The sequence below is a fragment of the Homo sapiens genome, chromosome 6 (genome assembly GCF_000001405.40).
Source record: "Homo sapiens chromosome 6, GRCh38.p14 Primary Assembly".
Taxonomy (NCBI): Eukaryota; Metazoa; Chordata; class Mammalia; order Primates; family Hominidae; genus Homo; species Homo sapiens.
In genome coordinates, this window is record NC_000006.12 from 28503123 (window position 1) to 28523565 (window position 20443).

The following is a 20443-nucleotide window of genomic DNA, read 5'->3' on the forward strand; positions in this document are numbered from 1 at the left end:
AAAAAAAAACAAACATATGCATATTTGTTGTAGAGAGAGAGAGAGGATTCTTTGAGAGGCAAGGATTCCTGTCATGTAGGGGCCTGGTCAAGAGACCTGAACGGGAGGGTGCAGAGGGACCTGACACGAAGAGATCTGTGCTCACGGTCACAGCAGCTCTGAGCAACCAGTTCCAGCCGTGCTTTTATATGTGCCAAGGAAAGTTCTAGAGCATTTTTGAGAAAAACAAAATACTGAAGAACAAGACAAGGGAATCAAGAAAGCAGGGACAAAGTGACAGAGAAAGAAGAAGTATGACTGGACATAATATGGGACTGGGAAAACACCACACAGAGCCAGGTTGCTGCAGAATTTTTAAATTTGAGACAGTGATCAAAATAAGCTTAAAGTTGAGGAGGCTCAGGGTGAGGAGAAAGCCCATCATTCAGAATACAGGGACACCCCTGCCCAGGTGCCATGACCTGAATGCACTAAGGGACAGGCACCAAGGAAGGCTCTGGCAGGGTGCGACCCAGAGGGGTTTTGGGATCCACCATCATGGAGATGCCCTTCCCTTCATGTGAGGTGGGGTTTCTGCTCTCACTCTGCCTTCAGAGGTCCTACATGAGAACTACTGGGTGGCAGGGGAATAAAGGAGAATTAAGGAGAAAAGAGTTTAACAATGCATGCCTATCTTAGAGGAGAGAGGCTATGAAGGAGGCCTAGAGTCTTGCGGCCAGCTCCTGCTTTCTTTAAAACTTTCAGGAAGGGGAAGGGATAGATGTCACAACTTCTCGGGATTGCTTTTTTAGGGACACAGGATAGTCTGATTCATCTACCCTAAAATATGATTTTCCTTTGGAATAGATATTTCAGGATCAGAGAGTTGGAGAGATAGGTGTTCTTTTCCTTAATCTTCAAACACACACACACACACACACACACACACCATACATACACCTATGCATATACCAACAAATACAATTCTACATATCCATACACACACACACACACACACACACAGCTACACACACATGCTAAGCAGGTGCTTGGGTAGTACAGGATGGTTTGGTCATCAGGAGGCTGGGTAGGCACGAGTGTGGAGCAAAGAAGGAGGAAGATGGATGCTTTGTTAGACATTCCTGCAGGTGGGAGACAGGGTAGTTATTTCTGTCAGTCGCTAGCCCTTCCTAGTGGGTATTGAACTGCTTTAGGTACTCCAGGATGTCTGACTTGACTGTGCTGACTGGAGCCTGGTGGAACCAATGCATGACAGGGACTCCATCGGGCCCCACCAGAAATTTCTCAAAGTTCCAGCGGATATCATGGACCTTCATGGGCTCCCAGAAGAGTTGGCTTGATGAGCCCAAAAGATCAGAGGTCGGAGGGCAGGAGTTCTGGAGCAGAGATATAGAAAGTAGAGATATACATTTATTTCTACTTTATTTCTACTTCTGTGTGGTACAGTTTTATCTCCAGACTAGAGAGTCTACTCACCATTATGTATTTTAATATATTAACTACTTTGCATGCTTCCAATCAACCACAGACACTGCAATGTATCAATACCAATACACCAACTACCAAATAACCGAGAGTTAGAGAGTATAATGGTAAATAGAAAGCATTCCTCCTTTCCCTGTCTTTCCTCTATTTCCATGGTTTTATCACGATGATTCAGTAAAAGACTATTTTCTGTTTCCTTGGGCAAGTCATATCATTTCTACAGTTCGTTTCCTTAGCAGAAAAAAAAAGAGATTGATTTAGAGTAGTGGCTCGCAGAGTTTGGGGCTTCATAGGCTTCATAAGCCAGTAAAATTTCAATAACTATTTCCTTGGATATTAACGTAGAATCACTAATACTCATTTTGCCAATAAGAAAAATTAAAAGTCTACTGTAAGCACACATTTAAAAATTAAGGGATTTTTAAATACTCAGTTGTACCACATAAAATTGATTATAGCACCATTTTTGAGTAAGTAAAGGGCAATTTATATGGGTAAACGTAATAGTAATTTAATGTCAGAATAAATGTTGGTCTTATATTCAATAAGTTGAGCTTTATGAAAAATTCTGCATTGTCTTTTTTCCCTTGTTTGCTGTGGATGAGTGAAAATTTCAGCAGGACCAGCATTGTTCTGCAGACCAGCATTTCGGGCTGAGTAGACAAAGAGACCCTCGGGGGTCCTTCTATCCTGGTATTCTGTATTTTTACCACTCTGTGACTCTAAAAGCATTTACCACATGGTATTCTGTATCATCCATGTCTGTCTCCTGATTAAATGTGAGTTCCTTCAGGGAACAGACTATGCGCTATTAATGTTTGTTAACTCATATAGCACATACTGGAGATCTGATAAATGATTGCTGAATGAATGAATCATTCCATTCAATACAGGAGGGTAGTCCATGTCAGAGCTATTGTCCATCATGGGTTTCCTCTACTTAAAGCTAAAGCATCACAGCAGATATTGCCATGAGCCTTGAACTTATCTGAGCATCTCTTTTCCAAGGAGTCCAACCACAACCCTAGACATGAGCCCCACTGCTTTCAGAGCATTTCTAGCTAACCCATCCATGCCAGGTTTATACTCATGCACCTTCAGGAAAGTAAAGACCTTCTGTTCTTTTTCTCCATTCACATCCCCTTTCTCAAAGAGCTGGAAACTGGGGACAAAGCCACTACCTGGACACACATACCTGCAGTGAACCAAAGTTGTTCCCAGCAAGATACAAATTAAGACATGGATGGAAAATAATGGCCACCACCAATTCACTACCACAGGAAATTCAAGATAAAGGGAAGAGGCTGTGCACAGGGAAGATAAGAAAAGATAGTCTGTGGGAAGCAGGATTTTATGCAATAGGCTTTATGGCGCCAATAGAGAATTCTAAGAAAATTGGAAGGCAATATTTTGAGCTTAGGTTTCCTGCTTCACTTCCATTTCTTATTTCTTATACTCCCTTCTTTTCTCTATGCTTCTTTTCCATTCAATCTTCCCTTAGCCTCACCATCAAATAATTCAAAAGTAAAGAGAATATTTGAGCACTGTGAATAGAATAGATTGAATTCAAAACATCATAAGGATATGCTTCAACCCATGTATCTATGGCCTATCCCAGAAGTTTCCAGAATAGGCAGGCATCTAGGTGGAATGAGGAATGGAAATCCCGACAGGGCATCTGCAGGGTCCCATGCAAGCACTCACTTGAGACCAAGAAGTATTTCTGAGTTTGTTCCTGGTTCTTGTTTTCCAAACTGGTTGCAGGGAAAGGCCAACACAATGACACCAAAATTCTTCAGCTCCTCCTGTAGTGCATTCAGTTCTGTAAGTGGACAATGAATAGCAGGGGTGGGCTGGTCAGGAGGCCTACCTCAAGCAGTGAAAGATCACTGAATGTATCCATTTATCACATGAATAAACCGAGGACTAAGAAGGGAAAGATTCAAGGTTACAGAGATCAAAGGAGTAGAGAAAAAAAAAAAAGACTAGAGCACACGTTTCCAGAAATGCATCTGAATGGCTGCTGTTTTTCTTATACAGTAGCTCCCATGCCTGGCTACACTTTACCATCCAATGAGAACTCTTATTTTTTTTTTTAAACACACACACACACACACACACACACACACGTTGGTAGCCTTGTGTGGGAGTCCTGTTTGACTCTAAAGAGAAGTCAGATTTGAATGCCACTGTCTTCCTTAGTTGATGAATTGATCAAAAAAAATTGTAAGGAAAAAGCAAACAAAATGGAAATCCTACCCACCTATCCCTGCATCCCCCCGGCCCCACTCATACAATGTCCCATGGTGACACAACCAGACACTCCAGTTCCAGTCCCATTCCCAGGAGTACTCCTTGGTGCTCCACCCTGGGAGTGGTAGAGAAAGAGAAATTCCAAGGCTATCCTCTACAGTATTCTGTACCCTCTCCTCAATTCCAGTGACCTAACTGATGCTGCAACATGCCCTGGAACACTCCCTGGGACGCCAGGCCATAAACTCCAAATTGCTCTTTACTACTGTCAGGAACCTTCCAGCTTGTCTGTTTAGACTTGAATCATAATTTCCATCTTCAGCTATTTTCAGGTAAGATTTATTCAGACCTCAGAACTTGTACTGGCCATTGTCATTCAGATTCAGCTCTGCCTGCTGGAATGTCCCCTAAGAACCTCCTCTTAAATAGAGAGTGCCTTCCTGTTTTTCTATAGTTCTTCGGTTGCTATCGAAACTCATCTCTCTCTTATCTTTGGCCATCAAGAATATTTCCTTTCTATAGCAGACACACTTAACAGACCTTGATTCTATTCCTTTGGCAAGTTTCTTTAATTCTCTCAATTTTCTCATCTGGAGTAAAATTTGAATGAGGTGCTCTTTAAAATTCTCATGAACTAATTTAATAAATTATATCACAGCAACACAATGGAATACTATGCCTTAAAATGAATGAGGAAGCTCACCATGTTTTTTTGTTTTGTTTTTAGACAGAGTCTCTCTGTCACCCAGGCTGGAGTGCAGTGGCAGGATTTCAGCTCACTGCAATCTCCGCCTCCCAGGTTCAAGAGATTCTCATGCTTTAGCCTCCTGAGTAGTTGGGATTACAGGCATGTGCCACCATGCCCAGCTAATTTTTTGTAATTTTAGTACAGACAGGGTTTCACCATGTTGGCAAGGCTGGTCTGAAACTCCTGATGTTCAAGAGTGATCCGGCCACCTTGGTCTCCCAAAGTGCTGGGATTACCTTGGTCTCCCAAAGTGCTGGGATTATAGGTGTGAGCCACCACTCCTGTCCCCACTGTATGTGATATATGTGAAAAAGCAATGTGCATAATCATTTCTGTGTGTATGTTTGTGTATGTGTATGTGCTTGAGAGAAAGAAAGTGAGAGAGAAATGTTTGCTTGTATATGCATAACAGATTTCTGGAAATATACACCATAAACTGATAATAATGGTTGCCTAAAGAGAAGGGAACATGGCAAGTGCCACTGTTAAACCTTTTTATATCTCTTGAATTTTGAATGTTGGAAGTATATTGCCTATTCAATATGTAGCAAATTTAAGTTAAAATTAAATTAAATTAAAACAAATTTAAGAGCAGCTTCACATTCCATGGAACTGCGTTTACACATCACAACTTTTAAAATTTACCATATTTTTCAAATTTAACTTTTTGAAGGGAGGAGAATTCTTGCCTGCTAAATGATACAAAACTGTCGTTTGGGCTCTAATACCTAGGTCCTGAGGTCCTATAGTAGACACAATTGGCAGAACTTGATTCTATTCCTTTGGCAAGTTCTTTTAACTTTCTCACTTACTAAATGATACTAAATTGTTGTTTGGGCTCTTATAATAAAAATTTAGTCTGTAGCTTTTCAGGTTTTCCCTAGACTTGAGTGTACATAAAAATAAAAAAATTGAGGCCGGGTGTGGTGGCTCATGCCTATAATCCCAGCACTTTGGGAGATTGAAGCAGTTGGATCACTTGAGGCCAGGAGTTCGAGAGCAGCCTGACCAACATAGTGAAACCCAGTCTCTATTAAAAAAAAAAAAAATTAGCTGGGCGAGGTGATATGCACCTGTAGTCCCAGCTATTTGGGAGGCTGAGGCAAGAGAATAGCTTGAATCCCAGAGGCAGAGGTTACAGTGAGCCAAGATTGTGCCCCTGCACTCCAGCCTGGGCGACAGAGCAAGACCCTGTCTCAAAAATAATAGTAATAACAAAGGGACCCCCAAATTATTTTAAATGTGTGATTCTTATCCTAATCTGTACTTTTGAGAGCATCTTTTTATGCATAATTTTACCATTAAATTGGAAAAGTATTCAGCTACTCTTGGTAAATGTGAGCCATTTGTACTTTGGAGGAGCCGGAATTTTATTAGAATTTTGGCTTAAATCATGTAGCATCCTCTGAATGTTAATTTTAAAATGTCAAAATTTGGTGAGCCAGATCTTTTAGACATGAGATTACAATATGCTTGACTTTAAGTGTTACTTAAAAGGGCTAAAATTCTGGGATTTTTATTACTGAAAATCCATTAAGAAAAATTGATAGGGTTTATATATTTTTGATCAGCTGAACAGATAATAGTGTCAATGTGTGGAAAATTTTTCTTAAAACTTGTTTTTGTATAGACCAGGTGCGGTGGCTCATGCCTGTAATCCCAGCACTTTGGGAGGCCAAGACTTGTGGATCATTTGAGGTCAGGAGTTCGAGACCAGCCTGGCCAACATGGCAAAACACTGCCTCTGCTAAAAATGCAAAAAAAAAAAAAAAAAAATTAGCTAGATATAGTGGTGCATGCCTGTAATCACAGCTACTCGGGAGGCTGAGGCACAAGAATCACTTGAACCTAGGAGGCAGAGGTTGCAGTGAGCTGAGATCACACCACTGCACTCCAGCCTGGGCGACAGAGCGAGACTGTCTCAAAACAAAACAAAATTTGTTCATGTATTATTTTGATCCACTTCTCTGTGGCATTTGGTGCAATAAATCTTTTAAATTTATCTTGAGCCATTTTTTAAAAGCATAAAATAAAGTTCTTGGCCCGTCCAAAGCTGTATCTATCTCTAGTATAATTGATCTAAAATTTTAAATAACCTTTTCTGGACCAACAGTAATGCAAAACTCTTCTCCAATAAGGGCACAAAGAAAATGGAAACACACCTCAGCTACCACAGAAGGTTAGGCCAAGGTTGGCGAGATGGAGCATTCTTCTACATTGCCAGTCACACTACACAGCCCTTGTACCAATCAAAGGCTGCCCAGACAGAAAACTTCATTTCCCTCTTGGTCATTTGCAGGTGCCTACAGAACCCAAGGGCATTTTCCAGAATATCAAAGATCACTCATCTCTCCTGTTTTTATCAGAAGTAACCGATGAGAAGCATAAAATCAGTCCTTGAAAGCCAGGTATCTGGCCTGGGAGTCACAGCTAGGCTTTAGCACTCTGCTAGGAAACATAAACAACTTCATAGAACAGTTTCATACAAACAATATCACATAACATGTGATCATGATGAATCAAGGCAAAAACAAGGCCACTGCATAATTGTAACTGAACATAGACAAAGCACGAACATTGTCCAAATCGCAACAATGACCAGGTACCACCCTATTCTTGCCAATATGAGTGACTGCTGCTTCTTTACCAGTTACAGCTTTAGTCTTCGTTTCTCTCCCCATGTAGATATGATTGATTAAGACACCAAATCATATAATTGCTCACAGTTCTTGATGGCATCCAATCCAGAACAGAACTTCAATTCCTTGAACTCGTCTCCAAATCACGTAACAAAAGTTCAGATTCTATAGTAAGTCCTTTCTAATACTTTCTTATTAAGAAACCCCATGGTTCTCTATAGAACATGTTCTCCTTCAGGGTACCGAGTAACACATTCAACTTGTTCAACTGCAAGTGTGCTCCTGGTGGTCTTTAAGTCTTTGGGAAGGTCTTAGTTCTCAAATCTGGAAATAATTATCCTGATATTCTAAGGAGCAGAGCAGGAGCAGCATTTAGGGAGGTAGAGTCACCTGATCAGTTCTCCCATCGCATCCTCCAATAACACATTGGTAAAACCTTCTGGAATTAGAATATGGCTATCTGGCAATGCTGCTTCCAAAAGAGTTGAAACGTGAGTTCTTACCAGGATACTGAGCTGCCAAGCCTCAATAGGCGGCCACATTGACAAACAGGACGTGCTTGCCTGCAAACTGCTTGAATTGGATGTACTCCTCGCCGTTGAGGGTGAGGGCTCCATACTCATAGATGGTGCCTGTTACCCCTTTGTTGCAATCCACCTGGAATTTTACAAAAATAACCATAACGATATAAGATAAAAAATAATTCCCAACATTTGTGGACTTTTTCAAAACACTCGAAGACCCTTCATGTAATATCTTGAAATTCTAAGAACTGAAGGGATCTTTCCAAGTAAAATTTTTAGTTAGAGCTGATGCCATAGCTAGAATTTATGTCTTCTAAATTACAAGCCATTTTTTTGTGTGTGTGGCAAGACAAGCATTTCATAATATTCTTCCCGTTTCCAGAAGATTAATAACATTTACCTCTGTTCCCTGACACTGCATTCTCCCCCGACATCCTAACACTCCGTTCAAGTCATGCCGTCCTCTCTCAGATACTCTTAACAGATTTTGCAGGATTTCTCATAAGTAAGTTTTGCACAAACTTCTCATCTACATGTTCTTATATTGTAATTCCTGTCCCCCAAAATCAGGCCCATAACTTCTCCAGATGCCACTGAAGGGCCTTTCCAGGCTTGCCAATGGGGTAATCACTGGTGATGGGGGAGGGGCGGCCGGGAAGTGCTGGGTAGAGAAAGGCGGGTACCTAACTAGGGCTCCACCCTCGGGCCTGTGCCTACGGACCTACATGAGGACAGGCACTCCTGCCTTCTCACTCAAATGGGTCTGTGCCTATAAAAACTCTGAGACCCTAGCAGCCAGAGGCACTGGCGCTGGATGTGGAGAGAAGCACATCAGCGGAGGAACACACTCAACTGGCTGGACGTGGAGAGCAATGCACCATCGTGGTGAGAGGTGACAACATGCTAGCAGCCCTCACAGCCTTTGCTCGCTCTCCGCGCCTCCTCGGCCTTGGCGCCCACTCTGGTCGCGCTTAAGAGGCCCTTCAGCCCGCGGCTGCACTGTGGGAGCCCCCTTCTGGGCTGGCCAAGGCCGGAGCCGGCCCCCTCAGCTTCCGAGGAGTTGTGGAGGGAGAGGCGCTGGAGGGAACCAGGGCTGCGCGTGGCACTTGCGGGCCAGCGCGAATTCCACGTGGGAGTGGGCTCAGCGGGCCCCGCACTCGGAGCGGCCAGCCGGCCCCGGGCACTGAGGAGCTTAGCACCAAGGCCAGCAGCTGCTGTGCTCGACTTCTCGCTGGGCCTTAGCTGCCACCCCGCGGGGCAGGGCTTGGGACCTGCAGCCCGCCATGCCTGAGCCTCCTCCCGCTCCGTGGGCTCCTGCGCGGCCCGAGCCTCCCCGACGAGCACCGCCCCCTGCTCCACGCCGCCCAGTCCCATCGGCCACCCAAGGGCTGAGGAGTGCGGGCGCAGGGCGCGGGACTGGCAGGCAGCTCGGCCTGCGGCCGTGGTGCGGCATCCACTGGCTGAAGCCAGCTGGGCTCCTGAGTCTGGTGGGGACTGGGAGAACCTTTATGTCTAGCTAAGGGATTGTAAATACACCAATCGGCACTCTGTATCTAGCTCAAGGTTTGTAAACACACCAATCAGCACCCTGTGTCTAGCTCAGGGTTTGTGAATGCACCAGTTGACACTCTGTATCTAGCTGCTCTGGTGGGGACATGGAGAACCTTTGTGTGGACACTCTGTATCTAGCTAATCTAGTGGGGAAGTGGAGCACTTTTGTGTCTAGCTCAGGGATTGTAAAGGCACCAATCCGCACCCTGTCAAAACAGACCACTCGGCTCTCTGTAAAATGGACCAATCAGCAGGATGTGGGTGTGGCCAGATAAGAATAAAAGGCGGCTGCCGGAGCCAGCAGTGGCAGCCCCCGTGGGTCCCCTTCCACACTGTGGGAGCTTTGTTCTTTCGCTCTTTGCAATAAGTCTTGCTGCTGCTCATTCTTGGGGTCCACACTGCCTTTACAAGCTGTAACACTCACCGTGAAGGTCTACAGCTTCACTCCTGAAGCCAGCGAGACCACGAACCCACCGGGAGGAATGAACAACTCCAGACGCGCTGCCTTAAGAGCTGTAACACTGACCGCGAGGCTTTGCAGCTTCACTCTTGAGCCTCTGCAGCTTCACTCTTGAGCCAGCAAGACCACAAACCCGCCAGAAGGAACAAACTCTGAACACATCCGAACATCAGAAGGAACAAATTCTGGACACGCTGCCTTAAAGAACTGGGTTTCATTCTTGAAGTCAGTGAGGCCAAAAACCCACCAATTTTGAACACAGTAGGAGCACACTGGAAGGCCATTGACAGCGGAAGGACATGGAGTTTGGCCGGGCTCCAGGGAAAAACCATCTCTCTTTTGGCTCCCCCATCTGATGAGAGCTACTTCCACTTAATAAAACCTTGCACTTATTCTCCATGCCCACGTGTGATCCGATTCTTCTCGTAAACCAAGGCAAGATCCCTGGGATACAGAAAGTCCTCTGTCTTTGTGATAAGGCAGGGGTCTAATGGAGCTAACACAAGCTGCCTATGGGTGGCTGAACTAAGAGCACCCTGTAACACACGCCCACTGGGGCTTCAGTTGTAAACATTCACTCCTAGACACTGCCTTAAGGTTGGAGCTCCACAATCTGCTAGTTTGTATGCTCCCCCTCTGCTCCCGTACAGGTTTGAGCGGCGGGGAACTGAAGCAGCGAGCCACACGCCCCGTCGCATGCCTTGTGAGAGGGACAAGGGAACTTTTCCGGTTTCGCTGGTACCTTGAAAACTCATCCTTGGCACCCACTTCTTTATATTGTGGTGAAACAGCCTGAACTGCTCATGAATTAAAGTTCATAAAATAGCACAGAGCGGAAAAACTTTTCTACCCACAAGCATGCCAAGAATAAAAGGCATACAGAACCTGGAACAAAAGGCTAACATGTTATGTGGTAAGAGAGGCTATAAGTCCTGGCCATATGAAGAAAAATCATAGAATTTTAGAGTAATTTAAACTGGGCTTCACAGGATCTCAGTCCATAAAAGCATACCCCATGCAGGGAAGGAATTGCCTGTGGGTGAGCTACTGTGGGCAGAGTGGGGCAAGAAACTCTTTATCATCTTCTGAGTCTGTTACCACGACACAAGGCCACAGCTTCTCCTTCATTATCCTTGGAGAGAAGGAGGCTTGACCAAGGGGCAAGCCCTTTCAAGTCCATATTTCTGTACACATCTGTGCATATACATTAGTCACAATATTTGGGAACATTAGCCTAAGAAACCCACTATGATGGAGTTATCATCTATATGCCTGCATTCGTTTTGCCTTCATGACACCTTACGTCTGAGCTAAATAATTTCCAGCATTTGTCTTTCTTGCTACTATAATAAAAAGTCACACGGAAATCACCATGTGAGCTGTCATTTGTATGCCTCCATTTTCTTGCCTTTGTGCTACCTTAGCTCTGGGTGCAACAACTTCCAAAGATTTGGTTCTCATGAGGATGTCACTCTGTGAAATGAGATGCAGAATCCCACGAAAACTGCAGACTCGAAGAGCTCAATCCTTCCTACCCAGTTTTCAGTTCTGCTCTAGTTTGCTTACATCTGTTTGAAGAAGACAGAATACCCTAGAACACAGCTTTTAATTCACAAGATGCTATTTTACATCGAGAATTCCACACCCAACCAGGCAGCAGTGGCTGACATAGATCTGATGACCCTTGGAGGTTGTCCGTTCAAGTGATCTGTTACCTTTCTGGAAAGTAAGTAAGTAAGCTGTCTTATGGCTTGTAATAGGCACCATCTTACACTTCATATGAATCCAGTAACAGAGATTAAAGCTCAAAGCTTCAGGTGTGGAGACCTGCATGAGTATCAACCGGAAGCATTTTAGAAATGCAAATTCCTGGGCTCCCCCTAAAACTTACTGAATCAGAAAGTCTTGGGTGGGGCCCAGCAATTGTGCTTTAACCAGCTATCTCTTAGGTAAGCTCAAGTCTGGGAATCACTGCATTATATGATAGGCATTGTACGCCACCTTTTATAGAGGACAGAAAGGAACTAACAAAAGATATATAATTGGCATATGGCCACCACTGAGGCTGCTTTTGAATAAATTCATCTGATTTTAAAGTTAAAATTTGCGGGTGCCTCAGGTGATCTGCTCAGTCCGCATCCTAAGACATATATACACATCTTTCACAGGGGTGACTATGGACATCCAGTGGGGGGACTTTTCTAAATGGCATCAGGAGATTTGGGAGCAACACCAAGATCTGAGAACAAAGCCTACTCTGAGCTGAGCTTTGTCTCTACCTCACCTCATGACCTTCCCTAAAATTAATATTAGTGGACAACCATATTGGCCTTATGCATTTTATTTTTCTAGGGGTGTGGTGGTGGGGAGCTCCTCTTTCTGTGACCTAGAAACTCCTAGTGCAGATCGCAAGCCCAGATTCTCTCACCTCTCCCTCTGGGTTTCTGGCTGAGCAGCCTCTCCAGGAGTAACCAGGGCAGCCTCCCTGTCAATCCATTTGCGACTTCATGCCTCATTTGTTGGGATCCACAGCGCTACTCCAAGTTATGGACCAGCATGAAGGGGACAGGCTCTAGGCTATCAAGGGGCCACCAGGGGGAAGTGGCAAAGGGGAATGTGCTGAGGCAGCCCCCCAACCCCACTCCACATACATTCAGTTCAAAGAGCTACTAGGTGCAGAGGAAAAGATGCAAGTAAGAGACAGTGGATTTAGGGAGAGCCTGCTAAGGATAGCAATGTCAGGATTTGTGAAGAAGGGCTGGGAATGCAGATCTTGTCCTTCGAAAGGGGAGAGTAGAGAACTCCTTGCAACTCTGGCAGCCAGGTTGGTCATCACGTGCTGGAATCAGCTCGGATCCCCTGCCCCATGCTCACCTTCCTATTTTGAGGCTTTAGGGTCTGCTGAGCAAAGCCAACCAGGAAAAACAGGACAAGACAGGAGGCCTGGAACTGCTGGAACATGGCTAGGAGTTTTAGACGACTCTGAGGTCCCCAGGATTTCAGCCCCTTTTGAGCCCCTGGCAGGGACCAATTTGAAGAAGCACCCTCCAATCGCAGAGTGGCATTCATACACACCCACCTCCACTCCCTACACACACCCCCTTCCTCTTCAGTTGTAAACCCCTCACCATCGAGCCTGCTCCACCTGCGTTGCCTCTGCCAGCTTCACACAAAAGGCATTCTCTGCCTCTTGAAACTAAAGTCTGGGTGGGGTTGAGTTCTTATGAACTCTCTTGAAAGACAAGCTTTTAGTTATCTCAGATTTCTGAACTCTTTTCAAAAGCCTATAATCTATGTCCTGATCACTGATACCTGATCCAGCTATGCAGCTCCTTAAGGCAGCAGGTCAGATGCTTGCCTCTTATGGAACAGACCTACACACATTCCCAAGTTCTTTACCCTTCTCCTGCTTTTAGCTCAAAAAAATGGCTGAAACTTTGACTACGAGGCTATAAAGACCATTGAATTCAATACCTGTCAGTGCCACTGACTAGCTCCTTGAATCTGAAATCAAAGTTAATGTGTCTGTCCCCAGTTTTCTCATCTGTGAAATCAGAATAATAATATTATCTACCTTGTAGGGCTGCTGTAACAATTAAATGTGATAATAACTATAAAGCACTTACCACATGGCCTGACAATGGTAAACAACTAGAACTGTATTCACATAGTTTCATGTATGAGAAAACTGAAGCTCAGAGAGAGAGATAACATATAAAAAGTCACAAGGTGGGTAACAGTGAAATGAAGGCAACTTCTGCGTCCTACTCCAGAGCTCTTGCTCTGGTTCCATTTGGATCATAATTACTGTGATGAAATCTTTACTATCTGGGACAATTTACATTTGCTCACCTTGTAGTAATGAGCCCTTGAGAGGTAAGGAGACATTTCATTATGGACCTCATCAGTAGGTCAAATGGCCTAAAACCCCAACTTCATAGGTTTTGGTGTTCCCACATTCTTGATAGACTTTTGAGTACCTTGGGTCCTTGCCTCCAGCAATGAGAAGTGAAGGTACAGGAGCACACATGGAACAGGAGGAAACAAGGAACATTTCATGTCCCTGGTGCACCTGAAGGTATCATGGGGCTGCAATTGCCCTTCACCCATCCTTCTTTGGAGCCTTAGTTCCCTGTTATCTCCTTCCAGGAATTTTGCTTTCATCCCTTAGCTATCTCCTCACTTCCAGGATCTTCTCCAGTCCCTGTTTCCTTCACACTCTGCCTCTATGACTTTTCTAAAGGTCAGGTTTGTTGATATCACTTATGTTAAAGTGCCCCAATTCCTCCTAAATTCTTACACTTTTAGTTTGAAATTCTCCCATGAAGCACTCAAGGTCCTTTCTGATTTGACATCGGCCAGATTTCCCTGATGTAACCTTCCCTCCAGAAATGTTCTGATTCTGGTAGATAGAACTGTCTTCATCACCAGAGTCCACCTATCTGGGGTTGACTCTAGATCAAATCTTGGCAAGTACTTTGGGATCATTCCTGAGATATTTTATGATATACAAATTACATATTTTTATTCAAAATGATGGATATAGCTTTATCAAACAAGACTTCTGAGGTAACTTTCTGAGACTTGAGTCACAAATCAGGGTTCTGGTGAGCTTGACCACGCCTTAATATATATTAGGAGCCAGTTCACATCCTCACCCTCCTCCTTAGAATTTGGCTTGATTTATTAATTTACATTTTAAAACCTATTCTGTCCACAGATAGAAACATTATTTCAGGTCTGATTTCATCAATCAAGAGCATACTCTTTAGATACTAATCAGTAGAGTCCAAGATGGCATTATTTTCTCTAGTATCTTTGAAACATTATTGGTTCACTTATTTTAGTTTTTAATTTTTATTGGTTCACTTTTAACTTAAGGTCAAATAAACATCAAAGTTTATATGAATTGCCCCTGCAATGCTGGTGCCTATTATTGTCTATCCACCCAAGCAATTGATCTTTTAAATCTGAATTCTATCATCTATCAGACTAGCTATATTTATCATCTATCAATGATCTACACATTTGATCAGCATACCTTTTGTGTCTTCCACCAAATACATTAAAGTTTATAGGATAGAAAGAAGCCAAGTGAAGAAGTTTCTGCCCAGGACTAGAGTTTAACTTACTCCTTATTTCTTAATCAAGATGCTTGTGGTTGATTTTTGGTTAAGCTATGTTCCCATTCAGTGATCAGCACTCACATATGTTCATAACTCACTTGTTTAAAATTTGTCTTAAAAAGTAGTAGAAGCGCCAAGTGGAGCTTTTTCTTAGGTTCTGAAGTTCATTTCCCCTGCTTTGGAAAGTCAAAACATTTGCATGTCTACCAAGACATCTAGCATTCATGCTTGCAGGCAGGGATGGTCCTCAGTGTGTATACACAGGAATATGCACGGCAGTTGTTGGAGCCCAGGATTTGTTCTGATTGGTTGTGCCCATGGCATACTTCTAAATATATATGTACACACACACATTTTGGGACAAGGTCTGGCTCTGTCACCCAGGCTGGAGTGCAGTGGTGTGATCTCAGCTAACTTGTAACCTTTGACTCCAAGGCTCAAGCCATCCTCCCACCTCAGCCCCCTGAGTAGCTGGGACTACAGTCGCATGCCACCAAACCCAGCTAATTTTTGTATTTTTGGTAGAGATGGGATTTTGTCATGTTTCCCAGGGTGGTCTCGAAGTGGTGATCTTAAATGATCCACCCACCTAGGCATCCCAAAGTGCTGGGATTACAGGCATGAGCCATCCAACCCAGCCCTGCTAAATATTTTAATATCAGCTTTGATTGCAGAACCAATACAGGCAATGTAAGGTTTTAATTTTTTATCTTGAGATCTGCTTGTCTGTGCTGTGTCAACAAATTCACATAGAACAAGTAGGTGACTTTTATTAATATCTCAGGTTTAACTTTATATTTCCTCTTTGTTCTACATTTTTTTCTTCTTTTAAATTTAAAAAATGCATTTTTCTTACTGGAGAAGAAAGAAGCAAAGGATGTGTTAAAGAGAGTAGCTTTTTATCATTGTCAAGGCGTAACACTCTATCATTTTACTCAAATTCTGTATTACCTCTTCCTTATTCCTGTTCTGTTATAATTTAGCTTGAGCACACACACACACACACACACACACACACACACAGACACAAGAAGTCAGTGCAGGGCCATCAGAGGGGAGGCACAAACATTTGGGAGATCATGGATCCTCCTGGTTGTTGCCACTGTTTGAAGACTATAAAATTTCTTGTTTCCCAGTAGCAAGTGCAGCAGAAGGCAGGTAATGAATTTTCTGCTAACTTGCCTAAAATGAAAGATTAATCATCCCTCAGAAGGGTCAAGGTTTGAGTAATGCCAGCCCTAGTTACCTTCTATTCCAGTGATAGCTTTGGAAGGCTTCTTAACTGCTTCCCTGATTCTGAATTCACTGAATCTCACTTTTTTCTTTTTTTTTTTTTTTCTCTTCTACACTTTTTACCCTTTGCCACCTCTCATTACTTTCTCCTTTTCTCTCTCCTCATTGTGTACGAGAAAAAGAGTTTGGATTCAGGATTTAAACAATCCTGGCTTTAAGTTGTTTCTTGCTACACAATTTTGGGCAAGTTATTTAATTTTTCAGTGTATCAAGTTCTTTTTTTTTGTGAAAGAACATAACAGTGTGACTTTTAAAGATTAAGTAAGAATTTATATCTGGAAATGCCTGGCATACACAGTAACAACTCAATAAATGCTGATATAAGTTCCCATTATTTCTTTTTCTTCTTTCTTTTTTCATTTTCCTTCCTGCTCCATTTATCTCTTATATATATTCTTATCTGCTCTATTCCTTTTCTATCCATCAGTTAAAGAAGGTCCCAACCTTGAAGCTCCCAGCTTGTTAGGTTTTAATTCAACTTTTTTATTAAGGAAAATTTCAAACATATATAAAAAGTAGAGAGGAGTATAATTAAGCTCACATACCTGTTACCCACTGCATCTATAATCAATACAACTCTCCGCTAATTTCATTTTACCTACATCTGAAAAAGCTTGTTACCACAGCCCCCACCCTTGCACACATACCCATACTCACTGAATTATTCCGAACTAAATTCCAAACAACATATCACTTCACCTGTAAATATTGTCTGCCCCTTCTGATCATAGCCAGGAAGACAGCCAACATTTGTCCCTGGGATATTTCTGGGATGTCTACAGGGTGTTTCTATATCAAAACCTGGTGTTTTATTACTGGCTTTGATGCCTTTCACAAGTTGCCACAGGCTGAGGGATTGCAGAGCGAGAAAGGAGAAGCCAAATTGTCTCAGCCTTTAATTTGTTCTAAATCAGATTCTGATTGCAACTGTTATGGGGACACAGTTGTAGATTATCTGCCTAGGCCTTGTGACTTGGATGAGACAATCTCTAAACTTTACTGAGCATGTGCTTCTTATGTATATTGTTGTGGCCTGAAAAACATGACCTATAAGGCGAATGTTTGAATTCAAAATGTATTGATTGTTACTCGTGTTTCCCAGTCTTCTAGGAGTAAGAATTGGTCAGATAAGTGCCAATGATGAGAATCTCTGAAAAGCTGAGAAAATAAACTGTCTGCCTTAAAAGGGAATTTGGTGATTTTTCTGATCCAACTCCCGCTTTGTGCAAATAGGTAAATTCAGGCCTGTAGAGGAGCGGCATTCTCCATGTTCCACAGTTCTATTGAGTTGTTGGTGATGGTCTGCAGTGTGTGCTGGTGATGTGAGGCATATTTATTCTTTCTTGGGGAGCAGTAAGGATCTGAGTCATAGACTGCAGAATTTCCAGGTGTGAGGGCATCTGGTTTGGAATGGTGTGGGTCACTCAAATTCCTGTGTGTGGGCAAGGACACAGTGCTCTCTCCCCAACGTCCTTCCGGATCCATTAAAGCAGGAGTAATAGGAACACCATCTAGGGGAGTGCACATTATTTCTCTCACCACCTCCCCACCCCAGCCTCCAAGAAGCAGAGTTCTTCCTGGAGCATGTTGGAGGAGGAAAGCTTGGCATAAACAAGAGACCCTTCAGGAAGTCTGCGTGTCAGGGCCAGCTGCCTCAGTGAAGGCTCAGGTTTAGGGCCAGAGCCAGCTTCAACCATAGGTGAGTCCCAAACTTCATCATGTTTGGGGAAGATCAGAAAGTTAAGAACACGTGAGAATGAAAATTAAATGCCAAAGGACATTTAGTGATCTCTCTAGAATTTGCTTCCATTTCCAAACACATACATTATGAATAATTGAGCCTTGAGGGTGAAGCAACTAGCGGATTTGAAATTGAAACTCAAGTTTATGGTCTACATTTACACTATTGTGAATCTTTGGCCAAGTCGCCTTTCCTTTCTGAACTTACTTTTCCATTGCGAATTTGAGCTGAAGATGCCCATGCTACCTCTGTAACTGGCTGATTGTGAGGGCTAAATGAAATTATGGATGTGAAAGAGGCTCGTAAACTATAAATTCTGTATAAACTTAAGTAATAGTAACTTAAAATGGCAGACTTGGAGTAGATCCTATGCTTCATGCTTACAAAACTAGAGTAAGAAAAATCCTGGAGGCCTGAATGGAGATGCCAGATGCCAAGGGAGATTTTCTAATTCACGGAAAATAGTCAAGTAAAACCAAAGGGTGGACAGAGTTCTCTAAGTTAGACTTGGGTGGTTTCAGAGGCTATGGTTTGAATCTGAATAAAGAGGTGTACTGTCCCTGAGAAAGAATCAAACCTATTTCCTTTCTAATCAAAGGAACTAAAAACAAAAAACTTGATGTTGACTTTCAGGTAGGATTAAGTCATTACCAGAAACTAGGACAGGGAGTCTGAAAGCCCTCATTTCAATTTGTAAACTGCCACTCACTAACTACGTGACCTTGGGCAGAAAACTTATTCTCATAAGAATACGACCTCAAGGAAAAATTGGAGTCTGGTTGAGAAAACTAGGCAGCAATTGAGACATTGATTTTTCCCACCCAGGTGTCCCACCACGTTTAAGATCATGAACTGCTTGTAATTATAGGATTTTTAAAGTCAGGAAGTGACAGACCTTATAGCTTAATTTAGGCCTGGATTGGCTTTTCAGCCTTAATCTATGGCTCAGGCTACAAACATTTTCACCTAAAATCTTGATAGGTAGGCCGGGCGTGGTGGCTCACACCTATAATCCCAGCACTCTGGGAGGCCGAGGCAAGTGGATCACCTGAAGTCAGGAGTTTGAGACCAGCCTGGCCAACATAGTGAAACCCTGTCTCTACTAAAAATACAAAAAATTAGCCAGGCATGGTGGTGGACACCTGTAATTCCAGCTACTCAGGAGGCTGAGGCAGGAGAATCTCTTGAACCCGGGAGGCAGAGGTTGCAGTGAGCCGAGATCAAGCCATTGCACTTCAGCTTGGGTAACAAAAGCAAAACTGTGTCTCAAAAAAAAAAAAAATCTTGATAGGTAAAATTTGATAAAATTGTATTTCCTGTCTTTCAGTGGGAATTCCTTCTCCTGTCAAATTACTTATATGTATGTATAATTTGCGTAATGTATATAATTTGGACCAGGGGAGGTGGGATCTCAATGTTCTCAGCACCATTGACCTCCAAGGTCAAAAATCTAAATCCAAGGAGGTGTGTTTTGAAGAATGGAAAGACTGTAGCTGTCTGAGAGATGCACATAGGGAGCTACTGGGAGTGAAAACTAGAAGGAGGTTAAGAGCACATCAGGAGAGCTTCGAATACCTTGCTGGAGATTCTGGATTTGATGCTATAATAAACTGGTTAGCATCGCTGGCTCTTTTTAGGGGGAAAGATATCAGATAGGTGTTTAGAGTTTCCAGTGGCAATAGGGTAAAGGAAAAACTGTAGAAAGGAAGAGTCTGGAAGAGAGAAGACAAGTAGGAGATGATTTCAGCATTCCAGAAAAGAGGCAACAGGGATTTGATATGTGGCTCTGGCTGGGAGGCAGCTACTATGTGAGACAATCAGGGGATGATGACAAGAAGTCCCTCCATGTGGCCTCCTGCTGAGCATGAGCTCCCTGAACAGAGATCTTGCCTCCAGGGAAACTGAAACAATGGAACAAGGGGCTTGAGAAGGCCATTTGATCTGACCATTGAGGCATAGTTTATGATGAAAGTTTCTCTTCTGCTCTAGAAGTTAGTTATTGTGTGACAAGCAAAGATAAAGTGGTGAGGAAAGTAAGGAATTTATAATAGCAAGGGAGGAGCAGCCATCTCTAAACACAGGCTTTGGGTAAATCAGATTTTCTATTTGAGCACCTGTTTGTTCATCTGTTGAATTAACTCTGGGTGTTTTTCTTGGGCTGGGTCCAGTGGTAAGTTTAAACTAATCTCTTTTTTTCCCCTAAAATTAGCCCTATGAAGTTCATATTATTCTAGCAGTTTTACAGATGAGGGCCAGAGGCACAGAGAGCAGCTTGCCCAAAGTCACATAACTTGGGAAGGAATGAGGTTTGATATTTTGATCTCCACAGTTCTTTGAACTGTGATAGAGGGGAGACGGGCAGGCGAGTCAGCATCTGGGGCCAGGAGGTACCACAAAGCAGGAAACCTGAAGGGCTTGGGGTGTTTTGTGGCAGGGTGAGGCATTGCATGGGCTCCTCCCCTTAGATTAGAGGGCTCTTAGATTAAAGGGCTCTAAGAAGAGATCAGAAATCTGAGATAACCAAAAGCTTCTGTTTTCCAAGAGAGCTCTTGAATGCCCAGACTCCCCGAGACTGGTGGAAAATTAAACCCAGTGAGACTTCAAGAATTAAACCTCACTTAGA

General features: G+C 43.1%; 1 protein-coding gene across 1 annotated transcript; it reads right to left on the reverse strand.

Annotated features, from left to right (window-relative positions):
* On the reverse strand, positions 174–12671 carry GPX6 (glutathione peroxidase 6). Its single transcript, NM_182701.1, has 5 exons — positions 12535–12671; positions 7629–7782; positions 3190–3307; positions 2581–2680; positions 174–1376 (listed from the first exon to the last, which is right to left on the reverse strand). The coding sequence occupies exons 1-5, from the start codon at positions 12619–12621 to the stop codon at positions 1170–1172; spliced, it is 666 nt and encodes a 221-aa protein (NP_874360.1). The 5' UTR covers positions 12622–12671; the 3' UTR covers positions 174–1169.